The sequence below is a fragment of the Homo sapiens genome, chromosome 2 (assembly GCF_000001405.40).
Source record: "Homo sapiens chromosome 2, GRCh38.p14 Primary Assembly".
Taxonomy (NCBI): Eukaryota; Metazoa; Chordata; class Mammalia; order Primates; family Hominidae; genus Homo; species Homo sapiens.
In genome coordinates, this window is record NC_000002.12 from 113,181,458 (window position 1) to 113,200,276 (window position 18,819).

Here is an 18,819-nt window from a genome sequence, read left to right on the forward strand (position 1 = left end):
TCTAGAAAACACCCTGCGAGGTTCCTGGGCTCATCTGATAAGGGCCCACCCAGAGTGTTAGTGCAGGCTGTGCACACAGCAGCTCTGGGCAGATGTGAGGCAGTTCCAGGCAGACATGGCTGCCACATCCCAGCCTCTTCCTCCCTAGAAGGCAGAGATCTCCTCCCCATGCAGCAGGCAGTCTGCTGGGTGGTAGGCAGCAGGGCTGAAGCATCCTCCCTTCATGAGGGCTTGGGCTGAGTTAAGCAGAGAGCCCCTTGCTGCTTCCACCTGGGCCAAATTCCAAGCTGCCAACAGCTTACAAGGACAAAGAAGCAGGCTGTGAGCCAGCCTGGTGAACAGGGTAAGGCCCCAAGGATAGGAGCCTTGGAAAGTGGAAGTAAGGCAGGCTGTGGCCTTCATGTCGTGGGTGCCTGCTTCTTCCATGAGTCTGTTGCATTCTCCTCACCTCGTCTGTGTCTGTTTGGCTCCCACATGCTTTGGTTTACATGTCCTTTGTGGCTTGCAGCTGCTTCCTTGATACCTAGAGGCATTTCCGCCTTCAGTTCCTGCTGCCAACCACCTCGGTCTCCACACTCTCCAATCCAAATGCCCAAGAGAAGGATCTGATTTGGCCAGTTTGTTCTTTTCAGCTAAGCCACATGGGCTACCTTCAGCCAACAGATGGGTGTCTTTGGGGCAGGTGCTGCCCTGGTGCAAGTTTAGAGATTGTGGGATCAGATGGAATATGTGGTACACTCCTTACTCCCAGCAGGGCTGTGGAGGGCAGTGCTAAGGAGCAGCAGGCATAGATGGGGAAGACACTCCAAACACATCTAACACACTACACACGTGCCTCCAGAGGCTGACAGCCCTTCCCTAACCTGCACTTGCTTTGGGCATTTCCAGGGTAGATATGGATTCCCAGTTTCTCCAGCGGCCAGTGCTCCCCCTAGTCCACACAGTGAGACCGTGAAAGCAGATGCTCCGGGGCACTCCTGGGCAGCTTTTGCTCAGTGGATGATGGGTGACTACAGACTCCCTGACCACCCCCAGCCCATGGAAATTCTCAACCTGTACTTGGGAGACAGCCTGGAGCCCCACCCAGGAGAGTGCCCAAGGGAAACGTGCAGCCATGAGGATCCACCGGAGCCTTTCGAGGAGCAAACCTGGGCCACTGACCCTCCTGAACCTACCAGACAAAATGTTCCTCCCTGGGGCTCCGGTGTGGAGCTCACACACCTGGGGAGCTGGGTCCATCAGGACGGGCTGGAGCCTTGCCAGGAGCAAACCCGGGCCACTGACCCTCCTGAATCTACCAGACAAGATGCTCCTCCCTGGGGCTCCGGTGTGGAGCTCACACACCTGGGGAGCCCCTCTGCCCAGAGGGAGCACAGGCAGAACACAGCATCACCAGGGTCACCAGTGAACAGCCATCTACCGGGGAGCCCAAAGCAGAACCGGAGCACGTCCACACAGGTAGTGTTCTGGGCAGGCATCCTGCAGGCCCAGATGTGTGTCCTAGACCTGGAGGAGGAGCTGGAGAAGACGGAAGGGCTCAAGGCTGGGCTGAAATGCTGTCTCCCCACGCCCCCTGTGGACCTCCCCGGGGACACGGGCCTGCACTCCAGCCCACCTGAGAATGAAGACTCAGGGGAAGACAGCAGTGAGCCTGAGGGAGAGGGCCAGGCATGGCTGAGAGAGGGAACCCCAGACTCTTCCCCACAGTGGGGAGCTGAGGAGGAGAGCATGTTCTTCAGCAACCCCCTCTTCCTGGCGAGTCCTTGCTCAGAGAACAGTGCTTCTGGAGAGTGCTTTTCCTGGGGGGCTTCAGACTCCCATGCAGGTGTGAGGACTGGACCTGAGAGCCCAGCGACTCTGGAGCCTCCCCTCCCAGAAGACACAGTGCTGTGGGAGCTGGAAAGTGAGCCAGATTTGGGGGACGGCGCTGCTATCAGTGGGCATTGTACCCCTCCATTCCCTGTGCCCATCTATAAACCACACTCCATCTGCTGGGCCTCAGTGGCTGCCGCTGAGGGGGCTCCTGCAGCACCTCCTGGTCACGGGGAGAGTGAGGTAAGCCCAGTCTTGGGAACCAACCGGGGCTGTGCTGGGAACACAGAAGGGAGGGTCTTCCTCGGGGGTCACCAGGCCCAGAACATTCTTTTCTGACGCTAAGAGCTTTGGGGATAACCTGCATCAGTATATAGCAGGGTAATAGAGCAGAAAATCAGGACCAGTGTTGTCTTCAGAATGATAGGACATTTTATCAATGCCATGATGTCAGCTGATGTCAGCTGATAATTAAGTCCATAAATGTCTCCATCTCACCAGCTCCAAGGGGCCATGCCTAGATACGTTTGGAGAACAAACAGCTCCTCCAATTGCAGCATGTTCCAGGCCATTCTCAGATTCTTCCCCTCCCATCTCCAAGACATTCCCAACTGTAACAGGGCAGCGCTCAGCCTGCAAGGGTGACCTTTGCCCCTAACAGAGAGATGCCTATTTCAAAAGTCCAGTCCTCTCTCTTCTTGACAGATTTCAGCATGTTGTTACTTTTAGCTCACCATCTGTCATTATTCCCCTGTCCAGTGTCAATAGATCAGGCCCATATGACAATGGCAGAGATTCTTAATATCAACTAAGGATGGGGACATGCTCTGTGAGACAATAGGGAGCACAGTTTTCCCAGGGAGGCCTCTCCTTAAGAGATAAGGAGACTCAATATGGTAGAGTGTGGCTGTAATTTTCTAATATCTCAATTCCCTGAGAACAATGAAGAGCTATTACCCAGAGCAGCTCTATTACCAGAGCAGCTCTTGGAGCCCAAGATCAGAGAAGCTCCTGGGTACTGATGGGAGTCCTCTCCACCATGGGCCAGGGCCCCCAGTGTGGGGCAGTTAGGGCTGTGCCTGTGGAGGTCCATTTTCTCAGGACTTTCTTTTTTTTTTTTTTTTTTTGAGACGGAGTCTTGCTATGTTGCCCAGGCTGGAGTGCAGTGGTGCCATCTTGGCTGACCCTCCACCTCCCAGGTTCAAGCGATTCACCTGCCTCAGGCTCCCAGGTAGCTGGGATTACAGGTGTGTGCCACCCCACCCAGCTAATTTTTGTATTTTTAGTAGAGATAGGTTTCACCATGTTGGCCAGGCTGGTCTTGAACTCCTGACCTCAGGTGTTCCAAACACCTGGGCGTCCCAGAGTGCTGGGATTAAGTGAGCCACTGCGCCCGCCATGGACTTTCTTGTTCTAAGCACTAACTTCTCAGAGGGAAGCCTGGGAACGCTATAAGTTGCAGGTTGGCTCCTGTCTGGGAAGGCAGAGCCCACCCAGCCCAGTGCCTGGGGCTATCACCCTCCCTAAAACACAGCCCCTCCTTGGGCTGGCACCACCTGAGGCAGGGCCATCAGGGCAGACTGTGAAGGGAGGAGGCTTCATGGGATTTGAGAAAGGCCCTGGGAGCAATTTTCCTCTAGTCACCTCTCCTCTCCTTCTCTCCTCTGTCTCTCTCTCGACTTCTCAGGGAGATAGGCTTGGTCCTGCTCCATCTGCAGCACCGTGTGTGGACGAAGCATTGACCTGGGAATCAGGATGTGTCGGATCTGATCTTGGCCCTGCTGCACATCCTGTGCAACCTTGGGCAAGTCACTTCCCCTTTCTGGGCCTTACTTTCTCCATCTTTGGAGGAGGAATATGAGCCCATTCATTTCCAGGGCCTAGCACCAACAATCCTAGGATGTGGGGCTTCTCACATCAGGACTCCCCTTCTGAACTGAGGCTCCAGCCTGGGTGGGAGGAGGATGGAGGGGCTTCTGCCTACTCATGGCATCCTTCCCCTCCCCTCCTTTCCCCTTCTCCCTGCCTGGCCTCTCCCCCATCCACCTCTCTGTGTATCCAGGGCTCATGGGAATGCCTTTGCCTCTCTCAACAGGCCTCTCTCAGCCCTGAGGGCTGGCAGAGAGGAGGTCCTTTTTGGCCCCAGGTGACTCTTAACTCCCAGGACAGAGGTGAGCCCTAATAAGGGGGTTTGGGAAATTGGGTCCTGGGAGGATTTGGAATTTGGAGTGGGGACAAAGATCATTCTTGGATCCATGGTTGCCATTAATGGGTCCCATTATATTGTGTTTAAGCCAGACAGACTTGGGGTTAAATCCTGCCTCTTTAAAATTAAATGAAGGAAACGTACAAAAGGACCAGCATTTCTTACCGCTGGGTCTTAATGGTTTAGCAAAGGTCCTGAGCCCTTAGTTGCCTGGAGGCTTGAGTCCTGGGAGCCCGCTGTCTGCTGCCTCTGCAAGTGGGAGAGGTCACTGCCCGAGGGAGGACAGGGCATGCTGCCAGGCTCCAGGGGAGGAGCCCCAGGGAGGGAGCCTCTGGAGGTGGTGCCCAGGCCGTTCTCCTGCCTCCTGCCCTGTGCCCGCCTCACTTCATGTTCTTCCTCAGATGAGAGGGAGGGTGGACACCCCCAGGAATCTCTTCCCTGCACCTTGGCCCCCTGCCCCTGGAGGAGCCCAGCTTCTTCTCCAGAGCCTAGCAGCCCAGAATCTGAGAGCAGAGGCCCTGGTCCCAGGCCCAGCCCTGCATCGTCCCAGGAGGGCAGCCCGCAGCTTCAACACCACAGCTCAGGCATTTTGCCCAAGTGGACACTAGATGCTTCACAGTCTTCACTCTTGGAGACGGATGGGGAACAGCCAAGTTCCTTGAAGAAAAAGGAGGCAGGGGAGGCCCCAAAACCAGGCGAGGAAGTAAAGAGTGAAGGAACAGCCAGGCCTGCAGAGACTGGAGACGTCCAGCCTGACATTCACCTGACTTCTGCAGAACAGTAAGTCTCAGACTAACTGGCTCTCATGCTCCTAATTATGGATGCATTTAAGAATATTCTAGTCTGGATGGAGGGTGAGAAATGCACATTGGAATTAAACATACCCATATTTATTAAGCAAGGATTATATGAGTGGGTACCAGGAAGAGTTTTGAGAAAGACCGTAAGATTCAGAAGCATCAGAAACAAAACAGCAGATAGTTATACACGTGGAGGCGAGATCTGAGTGTGCTGGTGCAGGGCTTCAGAAGAAGCATCCACAGCTGGAGACCAGGAGAGGAGGAAGGGGAGGAGGTGTCCAGGGAACCTGAGCAAGGGCGTGTGCCTGCCCAGAAAAACGGGAGCCATGCTGGCAGGCCAGGGAAGTGCAAGGTCAGAGCTTGTAATGTGGGGATTATGGACTGCTTTGAATTTGAGGAGGTATCTGGGAGGCATTCACCAAAGAACCTGGGCCTGGGGCACTGGCTCGGATCTCATCAAGTGGAGGTTTGATGGGGACCAAGGGAATGGATCTTGGGGCCCAACATAGGATTGTGTAACCCCAGAACTGTGACCAGAAGTAGGAATAGGCCAACTGAGAAACCAACCTAGATGTCCACTTGTCCCAGAATGCTGCCTCAAGACTATATGCCCCTGGGATCTCCACACTGAAAAAGGCATTTTGTTTTCTAATTGGCTGAATGTGAGTCATGTTAATGGGACTAGCAGGAACCAGCAGTGGTTCATGTCATGGACCTAATGGTGCAGTCCATGCAGGTTAGCTGTGGCAAGGGTTCCCCGAGCTCAGCGCCTTGAATGGTGGGGCCCGGAGGAGCTGGACCCAGGCCCTTACTCAGGGAAGAGACAGAGTCACAGCCAGACTGACTTAGCCTGGCCTGGGACCAGGAGAACCCCGAGAGGAAGGTATTCATGCAAGGTCTCCAGGTCTGGGGCCCTGCGCTTCCTCAGGTAAAGCACAGCCATGTTCCGAGTTTATCTCACCTCAGGTGGCAGGTGCATCCCTGTGAGGCCCCTAGCGTTGTTTTCTCCAATGCAAGGCACGTGGGATTGTCTCCCTCACCTGTCCTGTGGTCCTCCTATACCTCCTTGTCCCTTCCCCACCTCCCAGCTCTGGCTCTAGCCTCCACTCCTAGATCTGGAGCCTAGAAGGCTGTAAGGGGGCTGAGAACAGGAAGCTAGGTGGGCTCTAGTAATGGCAGCAGCTGGGGTAGTTCAGGAGGTGGTCCTCAGCCTCTCCCTTCCCCCACCTAGCAGCCTGGATGACAAGGAGACTGAGTGGTGACCTATGACCCAGTGTGAACAGGTCCGGGTGACCCCCAGCCGACTCAGAACCTCCCAGTCCAGCACTAAGACTCTCAGATGTCACTCAATCCAATCTAAACCTGACTCTTCTGCTTCCCCCACAACGTCACAATCAGGTATTCTAGTTATTTAAGCATTCATTATCCAAGTGACACAGGAAGTTGAACCAGTAAGCAGGAGTCATCATAATATGAAAACGTTCCCTGATAAACAGACGAATAACATTAGGTTTCACTTAAGCACCCTCTCCACCTAACACAGACGGGTCAGGGTCTTTGCTGGTGACTTCTCACTGCCTCTTGAGGCTCATGAACACTACATAATGCAGGAGAAGCACAACAGAAGCTAACAGAAAAGTGTAAGTACAAATCCTGTCAAAAAACATGATTTCATAAGGTCTGTGAAAGTGATGTTGAAAGACCTCACAAGTCACGTGGAAAACCACTGACAAATCGGGAACCAAAAGAGATTGTCCAGTGAACAATGGAAGAGGAGAAAATAAAAATAAAGAATAAATTGTCACATCTAAAGAGAATTACTCGAAAAATCAACTGACGAAGCCCTAAAATATGCTTTTAAAAATGACCTAGTCAATTAGTGTTGTTACTAAAATAATACTTAGATGAGGGAGCACTTTGAAAAAAAAAAGTATGCAAATATAAATTATCATAAAATTGTACCCTTTATTTTTTTGTTTTGTTTTGGGACAGAGTTTTGCTCTTGCTGCCCAGGCTGAAGTGCAATGTTGCGATCTTGGCTCACTGCAACCTCTGCCTCCCGGGTTCAAGTGACTTTCCTGCCTTAGCCTTCCGAGTAGCTGGGATTACAGGCGTGTGCCACCATGCCTGGCTAATTTTTGTACTTTTAGTAGAGAGGGGGCTTCACCATGTTGTCCAGGCTGGTCTCGAACTCTTGATCAGACTTGTCTTGAACTCTCGAATCCACTCGCCTCAGTCTGTCAAAGTGCTGGGATTATAGGCCTGAGCCGCTGTGCCTGACCTCACTTTATTATTTTATTTTATTTTATTTATTTATTTTTTTGAGATGGAGTCTCACTCTGTGGCCCAGGCTGGAATGCACTGGCGTGATCTCGGCTCACTGCAAACTCTGCCTCCCAAGTTCAGGCCATTCTCCTGCCTCAGCCTCCCTAGTAGCTGGGACTACAGGCGCCCGCCACTGCGCCCGGCTAATTTTTTGTATTTTTAGTAGAGACGGGGTTTCCCCGTGGTCTTGATCTCCTGACCTCGTGATCTGCCCGCCTTGGCCTCCTAAAGTGCTGGGATTATAGGCGTGAGCCACCACGCCCTGCCTATTTTATCTTTTTAACTTGAATTTTCTTTTCTTTCTTTTTTATAATTTTTATTTCCATAGGTTATTGGGGAACAAGCAGTGTTTGGTTGCATGAATAAGTTCTTGAATGGTGATTTGTGAGGTTTTGGTGCACCCATCACCAGAGCAGTATACACTGCACCCTATTTGTAGTCTTTTATCCTTTAACCGCCTTTCACCCTTTACCCCTGAGTCTCCAAAGTCCACTGTGTCATTCTTATGCCTTTGCATCCTCATAGCTTAGTTCCCACTTATGAGTGAGAACATAGGATGTTTGCGTTTCCATTCCTGAGTTACTTCACTTAGAATAATAGTTTCCAATCTCATCCAGGTTGCTGTGAGTGCCATTAATTCATTCCTTTTTATGGCTAAGTAGTATTGAATCATATATATATATATTCAATAATATATATGCATATTCAATCATATATGTGATTCAATTATATATAATTGAATATATAATAGTATATATATATATATACACACACACATACACACCACAGTTTCTTTATGCACTCATTGATTGATCGGCATGTGGGTTGGTTCCATGCTTTTGTGATTGCAAATTGTGCTGCTATAAGCATAAGCATGTGTATGCAAGTATATTTTTCTTATAATGACTTATTTTCCTCTGGGTAGATACCCAGTAGTGGGATTGCTGGATCAAATGGCAGTTCTACTTTTAGTTCTTTAAGGAATCTCCACACTGTTTTCCATAGTGATTGTATGAGTTTATATTCCCACCAGCAGTGTAGAAGCGTTCCCTATTGACCTCATCCATGCCAACGTCTATTTTTTGATTTTTTGATTATGGACATTCTTGCAGGAGTCAGGTGTTATTGCAGTGTGGTTTTGATTTGCATTTCCCTCATCATTAGTGATGTTGAGCATTTTTTCATATATTTGTTGGCCATTTGTATATCTTCTTTTGAGAATTGTCTATTCATGTCCTTAGCCCACTTCTTGATGGGATTATTTGTTTTTTTCTTGTTGATTTGTTTGAGTTCATTGTAGATTCTGGATATTAGTCCTTTGTCAGATGTATAGATTGTGGAGATTTTTTCCCACTCTGTGGGTTTTCTATTTACTCTGCTGACTGTTCCTTTTGTCATGCAAAAGCTCTTCAGTTTAATTAAGTCCTGGCAATTTATCTTTGTTTTTATTGCATTTGCTTTTGGTTCTTGGTCATGAAATCCTTACCTAAGCCAATGTCTAGAAGGGTTTTTCCAATGTTATCTTCTAGAATTTTTATAGTTCCTGGTCTTAGATTTAAGTCCTTAATACATCTCGAGTTGTTTTTTGTGTAAGGTGAGAGATGAGGATCCAGTGTCATTCTCCTTCTTGTGGTTAGCCAATTATCCCAACACCATTTGTTGAAAAAGTGTGTCCTCCTTGTGGCTAGCCAATTATCCCAACACCATTTTTTGAAAAGTGTGTCCTTTCCCCACTTTATGTTTTTGTTTGCTTTGTTGAAGATCAGTTGGCTGTAAATTGTACACTTTAAATGAGTGAATTGGGCGGTATGTGAATTCTATTTCAAAACAGCTGTTATTATTATTATTTTTTTGAGACAGGATCTCACACTGTTGCCCAGCCTGGAGTGTGAGGTACAATCATGAATCACTGAAGCCTCAGCCTCCCAGGCTCAAGTGATCTTCCCACTTCAGCCTCCCAAGTAACTGGGACCACAGGCGTGTATCACTACACCCAGCTAATTTTTACTTATTTTTATTTTTTATGGAGATGTGGTCTCACCATGTTGCCCAGGCAGACCACAAGGCTGGTCTCCAACTCTTGAGCTCAAGCAATCCTCCCACCTCGGCCTCCCAAAGTGCTGGGATTATAGGCATGAGCCACTGCACCCAGCCTGTTACTGTTTTTAATGGCCTTTATGATCTTACTGTGAAAATCAAGGATGAATGCAAGATGTCTTATCCAGCCAGAAAACTTGTGCTGGGAAAATTAAATTTTAGGCATTGTGTTTACTATAAGATTTAAATAAACTTATTTGTACATTTACCAAGATAAAGCTCCAAGTAAACCTTTTCATTATTTACTATGAAAGTATGTTCTCATTTTAGTTAGATTTAGTTACTTCTATTTTGGGTTGGGTGAACTTTAATTTTTGGCATGAAGAAACTTCCCTTTTCAGAGGCTGGAACTTCTCTGGCTACCAAGCCTCTGAACCTCTCCACGGGGCAGCCTAGTTTCCAGATGCATAAGGAAGATGGTTCTTTGGTTTCTGGCACTGATTGACATTCTGTCACCATCACCCAAAGACCTTGTGATGGGCATGGGGTTAACCCTCCCATTAACCCTGACCCAGCTGTGTTAGATAGTGAGGGTGTTTAAGTGAATTCTAATGTTATATATCTGTTTATCAGGGATTGTTTTCTTTTTTTTCTTTTAGACGGCATCTTGCTCTGTTGCCCAGGCTGGTGTGCAGTGTCACAATATCAGCTCACTGGAATTTCCGCCTCCTGGGTTCAAGTGATTCTCCTGCCTTAGCCTCCTGAGTAGCTGGGACTACAGGCATGTGCCACCCTGCCTAATTTTTGTATTTTTAGTAGAGACAGCGTTTCGCCATGATGGCCAGGCTGGCTTCGAACTCCTGGCCTCAAGTGATCCACTTGCCTTGGCCTCCCAAAGCAGTAGGATTACAGGCTGAGTACTGCGCCCAGGCCCCTGGAATGTTTTCATATTATGATGTCTTCTGCTTACCAGTTCAACTTCCTAATTGTATCACTTGAATAATGAATGTTTAAATAACTGGAATACCCCACACTTGATTGTAATGTTGTCGGGGAAGCAGAAGAGTCAGGTTTAGATTGGATTGAGTGACATCTGAGAGTCTTAGTGCTGGACTGGGAGGTTCTGAGTCGGCTGGGGGTCACCCAGGCCTGTTCACACTAGGTCATAGGTCACCACTCAGTCTCCTTGTCATCCAGGCTGCTAGGTGGGGGAAGGGAGAGGCTGAGGACCACCTCCTGAACTACCCCAGCTGCTGCCATTACTAGAGCCCACCTAGCTTCCTGTTCTCAGCTCATCCTTACAGGTTTCTTGGCTCCAGATCTAGGAGTGGAGGCTAGAGCCAGAGCTGGGAGGTGGGGAAGGGACAAGGAGGTACAGGAGGACCACAGGACAGGTGAGGGAGACAATCCCACGTGCCTTGCATTGGAGAAAACAACGCTAGGGGCCTCACAGGGATGCACCTGCCACCTGAGGTGAGATAAACTCGGAACATGGCTGTGCTTTACCTGAGAAAGCGCAGGACCCCAGACCTGGAGACCTTGCATGAATACCTTCCTCTCGGGGTTCTCCTGGTCCCAGGCCAGGCTAAGTCAGTCTGGCTGTGACTCTGTCTCTTCCCTGAGTAAGGGCCTGGGTCCAGCTCCTCCGGGCCCCACCATTCAAGGCGCTGAGCTCGGGGAACTCTTGCCACAACTGACCTGCAAGAACACTTGACCCAGAGCTCCTGCATGTCTATCTCAAGTGAGAATCTGAGGACACCGATGAACTCTTCTTGGCTTCCTGGGAGCCCTATGCCCCAAGCACAGTCCCCAGAGGAAGGCCAGAGACCACCAGCTGGAGACAAGCTAGCTAATGGCGTCAGGAACAACAAGGTAGCCTGGAACTTGGCCTCACGCCTCTATCGCCTGGAGGGCTTCCGGAAGTCTGAAGTGGCTGCCTACCTGCAGAAGAAGTAAGGGGCTTTGAGCCTGGGGAAGGCTGGAGGCTGAGGCAGCCAGGGAGGAGCTGCTGAAGGGCTCCCTCCACTGGCCACCCTCCCCTTCCCGTCCCTGCCCTGTTCCCTTCCCATCTCCCCTCCTAACTTTTCCCCCATACCCTCACTGTATCTGCTGCTTACTCTCAGTCATGGTCCTCATGCTCTCCACACCCTTGGTCCTTGGTCCCCACTGCCTTGCCAACCAGACTCCACAGGTCTCTCCCAGTGTCTCCCAGTGTACACTGAATAGGGTAGCAGGGCATACCAGACCCTGGCTGCCCCCTTGCTCTGTCAGGACCCAAGGCCCAGCGTGCCTGCACCCTTCCCTTGCTCACCCCCACCGCATAATGTGTGCAGGCCCTGGGGGCCCCAGTGCATCTGCAGCCCCAGCCCAGGCCCCTGGTGCAGACTCCATGCCCCTTTTCCCTCTGCAGCAATGACTTTAGCAGGGCTGTGGCTGAGGAGTACCTGTCCTTCTTCCAGTTTGGAGGCCAGAGTCTGGACCGAGCCCTCCGGTAATGTCTTTGGGCCCTCTCTGGGGAGGCTGTGGAGGATGGCATGGGGCAGTGGCACCAGCCTGAGGCTGGGATCTGATTGGCCCTAAGCTCCCGGGCTCTCTCCTTGACCCTGGCCCTCCTTTGCAGGAGCTTCCTCCAGGCCTTGGTGCTCAGTGGGGAGACTCAGGAACGGGAGCGAATCCTCTACCAGTTCTCCAGACGCTTCCACCATTGCAATCCGGGGATCTTCCCCTCAGTAGGTAGGGAGGGGCTGGCCCTGACAGCAAAGCAGGGAAACTTTGGGGTGCCCATGTCTGCTTGGGAGTTCAGTAGGTGACAGTGAACTGGTGGGAGTGTGTTGGGGGCTGTGGAGAATGGAAGCATTCCAGGGGTTATTCGGTTACCCCACGCAGTGTGGGCAGAGGAAACAGGAGCCCTGGTTCCAATGAGCTTTCTCTCCACTTACCTATCTCTGGGGTAGATTCTGTACACACCTTGACATGTGCAATCATGCTGCTTAACACGGACCTGCATGGACAGGTAAGACGGTGGAGAGAGTCCCTGTGGGAACTGAGGCTGTAACAAGGGGTGCGGGGAGGAGAAGACCAGAGGCCTGAGACCGGGCAGGGAACACCCCTGAGGGATGTGGGCCTGGGGAGCTGGAAAGGGTTCCATGGTTGCTGGCTGGGAGGTTATTCTATTGGGATGGGGTGTGTGCTCGAGTCATCCCACTTCTCCGTGGCTACAGAACATTGGGAAGAGCATGAGCTGCCAGGAATTCATAACCAACCTGAATGGGCTGAGGGATGGCGGGAACTTCCCCAAGGAGCTGCTGAAGGTATGTGCCACGGGGTCTTCTTATGAGCCTCATGTAGGACCTGGAGCCTTGGTTCTTTGTTCCAAGGGAGATGCTGAGCTTGGGACTGGCTTTGCCAAAATATCCTTGAGAGAACAGGACTTGTTTATTGAAGGGCTAGTAAAAGTGTATTCCCTGGCGGGCAGCATCAGAAGCATCTTGGAATTTGTTATCCATGCAAATCTGCAGGCTCCCTGTGCTGGACTTATTGAATCAGACTCTCTGAGACTGGGACCCCTAAAATATTTTCTTAAGTTTTCAAGTCATTCTTACCCCTTCAAAGTCTGAGAAGGGCAAAGCTACACATGGTGAAAGTCTGGAGCTCAGACTTGGGAGCCTGGTGTTCCTGGGTTTGAATTCTAGTCTTGGGCAATTTGCCCCCTCTTGGCCAACTCAAGTTCTTCCTGAGAGTATTAACCACTTACCATGCCATTATCAAGATGAAATGAAATCTTCCAAGTGCTCAGCACGGTGCTTGGCACATAGCATGTGTGTCATAAGCAATTAAAATCATTTGCTGTTTCATCACAGTCACGCATCACTTAACGATGAAGGTGTGTTCTGAGAAATGCATCGTTGGGCATTTTCACTATTGTGTGAACATTATAGAGTGAACCTACACAAACCTAGATGTACAGCTCACTGCACACCAGGGCTATATGGGATAGTCTATTGCTCCTGGGCTACAAACCTGTATGGCATGCTGCTGTACTTAATACTGCAAGCAATTCTAACACAGTGCTGTATTTGTATATCTAAACATAGAAAAGGTACAATAAACACATGATAGAAAAGATTAAAAATGATACATCTGTATAGGACAGCTCCATCACAACCTTACAGGACCACTATCATGTATGCAGTTCATCCTTGACTGAACCATCATGATGCTGTTATATGGTACATGGCTGTACTTCATGAACATTTACTGAACACCTACTATGTGCCAGACTTTTTGCTAGGCACCGCAAGAGCTATAGAAGCAAGCGAGATAACATCTACGTTAATATGTCAAACTTTTAGTGCATCATTCATTCATTTACTGCACATTTATTGTGGGGATTGGTCAGCCAGTTTCTTCTCCATCAGATCCCTCCCAGTAGAATGCCATGTAGGTAATTCATTTCTCCTCCATGAGAACTAGTTAAGGCCTCAGTAAGCATGGGCAGGACAGGGACTTGTCTGCCCTGGTCATCATCTTTTTTTTTTTTTTGAGATGGAGTCTCATCCTGCACTGTCGCGGGAGTGCAGTGGTGTGATCTTGGCTCACTGCAACCTCCGCCTCCCGGGTTCAAGCAATTCTCTTGCCTCAGCCTCCTGAGTAGCTGGGATTACAGGTGTGCACCACCACGCCCAGATAATTTTTTGTATTTTTAGTAGAGACAGGGTTTCATCATGTTGGCCAGGCTGGTCTCGAACTCCTGACTTCAAGTGATCCACCCGCCTCGGCCTCCCAAAGTGCAGGGATTAGAGGTGTGAGCCACTGTGCCTGGCAGGTCATCTTTATGTCTCTAGCACCCAGCATAGTGCTTGTTGCTGGGAAATACTCCAGAAATACTTTGTTGCACGGATGGATGGATGGATGGATGGATGGATGGATGGATGGATGGATGCTTGCTTACTCAAGGAGGAAGGGCACCTATGTTGTGGGTGGAGGAGGCAGGCTGTACACATGCCCCTATCCTACCTCTGCCAGACAAAGAGACTTTAGGCTCCACAGCCCTGAGGCTCCCCTGCCCACCTGTGTGCTTCTGTTCCAGGCCCTCTACTGGTCTATCCGCAGCGAGAAGCTCGAGTGGGCCGTGTGAGTGAGACTCCCTTTCCCCTCTCCCTCTCACCCCTCTCCCCTGTCTTTGGACTGTCCTCCCTCTGTCACCCACCCGAGAGTTAGAGAAACTCAGATAGTGCTCCCCTTGGAGTGAGGCAAAGCCAGAGGCAGGGCTCTGGGGAGAGAGCATAGAGGAGCCCAAGTAATACCGGAGGGCCAGAGGTAGTGGGGCGTGGGGTATGGCAGAATTTTCAGGAATTGATGGGTTCACTGTGAAGGAGGACTCCTTGTGGGGGGTCCTGGGGTGTGGCTTCCCAGGAAAAGAGAGGTTGCTAAGGCTCTGGGAGGCAATGGATACCTCCCAGTTCTCTTTGCATAGTCAGCACTTCCAGCCCGATTCTCTGATGTTCAGGGATGAAGAAGACACAGCCAGACCTGAGAAGGCCCAGCCGTCCCTGCCAGCTGGCAAGATGAGCAAGCCCTTCCTTCAGCTGGCTCAGGATCCCACAGTGCCCACCTACAAGCAGGGCATCCTGGCTCGGAAAATGCATCAAGATGCAGACGGCAAGAAGAGTGAGTGTCTGCTGCCCACAAACAGGGTGGCGTGCTGGGAGCAGCCCTGCTCAGGGACCTGTGCCGATGCATGCACAGGTGTGCAGAGAGACAGCCCGCGTTGAGGACAGGCAGCCAGCCCATGTTCCTTCCTCAGTGCGTACTGAACAGTGACCATGTGCTGGATGCTGTGTGAGGCACTAGAGGGTAGGTAGGAGAACCCAGACAAAACAGGCCTAGTTATTCCTGGGCCCCAGAGTCCCTGTAGTAAGGTAGAGATTAGACAAGTGTGTCAATGTCTGCGAAAAAAATGTAGCAAGAGCTGAGTGTCTAGGGGCTGAATCAAGTGAGGAGAAAAAGGTTTTTGGTTTTGTTTTGGAAGCGGGATGTGGCTACAGGGAGAGGTAAGGCTTCTGGTAAGTGATGGTATCTGCGCTGAACTTTGGAGGAGAAGAGGGTCTGGAATTTGGAAGCTGGGCAGAGGGCATCCCCCACAGAGAAAACAGCAAGCCGAGTTTGCTCAGAACATGGGGTGTGTGAAAGGGAGGTACACTTGAGGCAAAATTGCCAGGGCCTGCATTTGGGCCTTATTCCACAGGCAGCTGAAGGCTTTTGATTATGGCACCAACATGTCCAGAGTGGTGATCTCAGCAGACTAATGTGCAAGCACAGATTGAATAGGCTGGGGCGACCAGGATGGGAACTAGCATTGGCTGTGAAGCCGCCGGGGCCCTAGGGCTGCCTTTTGTCCAAGGAGCTTAGAATGGATCTTACCACACAAGACCAGGGTGGAGAGGTAGGGGGAAAAGAGGGCAGGTGGTGCTCAGAGTGGGGTACACAGGGAAGGGCACCCCAAAGCTGGGCTCTGCGCCCTTGAGCCCCTCTAGATGGGTATGCAAGGTCAAGATCATCCTGCAGGGACTAGAAAGCTGTCTGGGAGGAGCTGTGTTTGTGCCTGGGTGTTTGCCACTACTTGGGGTAGTGGGTGTGTGTTTGGAGTTGGAGAGAAGATGATATGTATGAATATCTATATTTGGATGTGAGTGGTTCTATGGTTTTGTTTCCAGCGGGCATTGCCTGTGTGTGGAGAGACTCTATATGTTTGTTTACGATTGTATGTGTTTTCTTGTGTTGGCATGTTCTGCATTTGTGTGCATCCTGGTGAGAGACTGGAGGTGGTGTGAGGGACAGGGGGCATATGCACACTTGCGTGTGTCTGAGTGTGTCTGGATGCTGGTGCCCCCACCTACAACATTTGTGTTCTGTTCCTGGAACAGCGCCATGGGGCAAGCGTGGCTGGAAGATGTTCCACACCTTACTGCGAGGGATGGTTCTCTACTTCCTGAAGGTAGGAAAGGAGCCAACACCCCTGTCAGAATGGGAGACTGAGAGAGGCCCAGAACAGTCTGGAGGGTGGGCAGCTGATGATAACCTCTTCTCTGAGCCCCTGTGACTGGTAGCAGGGAGAAGACCACTGTCTGGAGGGGGAGAGCTTGGTGGGGCAGATGGTGGATGAGCCCGTGGGGGTGCACCACTCGCTGGCCACCCCCGCCACGCATTACACCAAGAAGCCGCACGTCTTCCAGCTGCGCACGGCTGACTGGCGCCTCTACCTCTTCCAGGCACCGTAAGTCCCTGGGGTGGGAGACTGTGGCAAGGCCTTGCCCTGCCCTAGTTCTCTCTCCCCTGACCCTGCTGACACCTGAGGCTTGTGGGCCCCAGGGGGTCCTGGTGGGAATGGCCGTATGATCAGAAATTCTTAGAAAGCGGCAGCAGGAAGAGGAGCTGGGGACCAGGGATGAAGCCCAGGCATCGCCTACTTCCTCCCCATCCTTGGCCAACTTTGCCAGCACAGTATGCCTTTTCCTTGTCAGTGGGATAAAGCCTCCCAGTTCAGAACACAGGATTCCGGGAAGTTGCTAATGATTGACCATATCTGGCATTTGTTATGAAATCTGTCACCTTCTCAGATTGTCCTCTTTATTTTTTATTGTTTATTTTTGAGACAGAGTCTCGCTCTGTCGTCCTGGCTGGAGTGCAGTGACTCTCACCTCGGCTCACTGCAACCGCCGCCTCCCGGGTTCAAGCGATTCTCATGCCTGAGCCTCCCGAGTAGCTGGGATTAAAGGCGGGCGCCACCGCGCCTGGCTAATTTGTGTATTTTTAGTAGAGACGGGGTTTCACCCTGTTGACCAGGCTGGTCTCGAACTCCTGACCTCAGGTGATCCGCCTGCCAAGGCGTTGCCACCGCACCGGGCCTCCAAATTTTCCTCTTTATTGATAAGAAATGCCACGGTCAGAGGTCGGGTGCCCGGCTAGTGGCAGGGCTGTAACTATGGGAGGCTGAGTTCTGAGCAGCTGGCCAGCTGTGCAAGCAGCCACAGGAGGGGGCGGGAGGAGGGTGACAGGACGGACTCTGTGTCCCCGGGGACCAACGACCTCCTTTGCCCCAGCACTGCCAAGGAGATGAGCTCCTGGATCGCGCGCATCAACTTGGCTGCGGCCACGCACTCCGCGCCGCCCTTCCCCGCCGCTGTGGGCTCCCAGCGCAGATTCGTGCGGCCCATCCTGCCCGTGGGCCCCGCCCAGAGCTCCCTGGTACGGCCTCCGGGAAGGGGTGGGGTCCGGCGGAACTGGGAATGTGCACCTGGAGCCCCAGGACTAACTCGGGGAGGCTGGAGGCGGGCTGCGCACTTGGCCTGGGAACCGAGGCGGCCAGGGGGGCGGCGCGCCCGGGCCCGGAAAGCGGCGGAGGGGACGCCCGGGACAGCGCCCCTCACCGCCCGCTGCTCGCAGGAGGAGCAGCATCGATCCCACGAGAACTGCCTGGACGCTGCCGCGGACGACCTGCTGGATCTACAGAGGAACCTGCCGGAGCGGCGGGGCCGTGGCCGCGAGCTGGAGGAGCACCGCCTGCGGAAGGAGTACCTGGAGTACGAGGTGAGCGGCCGAGCCCACCTCCCCGCCGCTGCGCAGCGCCCTCTCCGCCCTCTCGTGGCCGCCTCGGTCCCTGCAGCCGTCACTGCCCTGACCGCGCCGGGGCGGGGAGAGGCGCTTGCGTGCGGGCGGGGCCCGCGTGCGCCGTCTGCAAAGGGGCGGGGGCTCCCACATGGACACCCGCGTGCACGGGCGTGCACAAAGAGTGTGTGTCCCCACGCACTTAGGCCTGTCGCCTCTCGTCCTGGGGGCACATAGCAGCTGCTTGTCTGGAAACACCCATAGCAGATGTTATTTTACAGTTTTCTTTTCTCCTAAGAGTATATTTGGCTTTTCCCAAGTTGAAGGGAAAACTGTATTTCAGCTCAACTGTTCCTTCTAATACCTACCAAATATTAATAGGTAGTATGGATGGAGCTTGTCTTCCTTGCATGGATTGTCTCATTCAATTAACAGCTCTGGGTAGGTCCTGTTATCCTCATTTTACAGATGAGGAAACTGAGGCACAGAGAAATTAAACTACTCTTCCAAATCTGGTAAATTTACATGCTGCTCTAAATGCCCCGTTTATGGTCTTAACTAAGAAATGACCGTGTTTTTTTGTTTTTGTTTTTGTTTTTGAGACAAAGTCTCGCTCTGTCGCCCAGGCTGGAGTGCAGTGGCTCGATCTCAGCTCCCTGCAACCTCCGCCTCCCAGGTTCAAGCGATTCTCCTGCCTCAGCCTCCCGAGTAGCTGGGATTACAGGTGTGAGCCACCACACCTGGATAAGTTTTGTATTTTTAGTAGAGACAGGGGTTCACCATGTTGGCAAAGCTGGACTTGAACTCCTGGCCTCAAGTGGTCTGCCTGCCTCAGCCTTCCAAAGTGCTGGGATTACAGGTGTGATCCACTGCCCCGGCCAGTAATGACTTTGTTGACTCTACAGCCCATGTTGAAATGTTTTATCCCTTAGTCTCCCCCAACCCTCACCCATCCACCCACACTCCCCAATTCTGCTTTGGTGTGACGTCAGTTCATCTGGGATCCTAACACTGGGTGCCTGCTTCAGGGAT

At 51.8% G+C, this 18,819-nt stretch overlaps 1 protein-coding gene across 1 annotated transcript in view, besides 1 other annotated feature; it reads left to right on the forward strand.

Moving 5' to 3' along the window:
* Positions 1-18,819, forward strand: part of PSD4 (pleckstrin and Sec7 domain containing 4) — a 35,421-nt gene that overhangs the window by 7,487 nt on the left and 9,115 nt on the right. Inside the window, exons 2-16 of the mRNA NM_012455.3 lie at positions 889-2,055; positions 3,500-3,616; positions 3,908-3,983; positions 4,420-4,798; positions 10,923-11,132; positions 11,591-11,671; positions 11,801-11,913; positions 12,135-12,193; positions 12,402-12,491; positions 14,270-14,313; positions 14,690-14,850; positions 16,107-16,177; positions 16,290-16,456; positions 17,283-17,427; positions 17,626-17,769. Of these exons, the coding sequence (NP_036587.2) occupies positions 1,000-2,055; positions 3,500-3,616; positions 3,908-3,983; positions 4,420-4,798; positions 10,923-11,132; positions 11,591-11,671; positions 11,801-11,913; positions 12,135-12,193; positions 12,402-12,491; positions 14,270-14,313; positions 14,690-14,850; positions 16,107-16,177; positions 16,290-16,456; positions 17,283-17,427; positions 17,626-17,769 (2,913 nt within the window). The 5' untranslated portion in view covers positions 889-999. The remainder of the gene's footprint in view (positions 1-888; positions 2,056-3,499; positions 3,617-3,907; positions 3,984-4,419; positions 4,799-10,922; positions 11,133-11,590; positions 11,672-11,800; positions 11,914-12,134; positions 12,194-12,401; positions 12,492-14,269; positions 14,314-14,689; positions 14,851-16,106; positions 16,178-16,289; positions 16,457-17,282; positions 17,428-17,625; positions 17,770-18,819) is intronic.
* Positions 17,732-18,021: a silencer, noted in NCBI's record as "silent region_11880". NCBI's record gives its function as "represses an Ori minimal core promoter by ATAC-STARR-seq in GM12878 lymphoblastoid cells {active_cell/tissue: GM12878}" and the evidence as "EXISTENCE:reporter gene assay evidence [ECO:0000049][PMID:35858748]".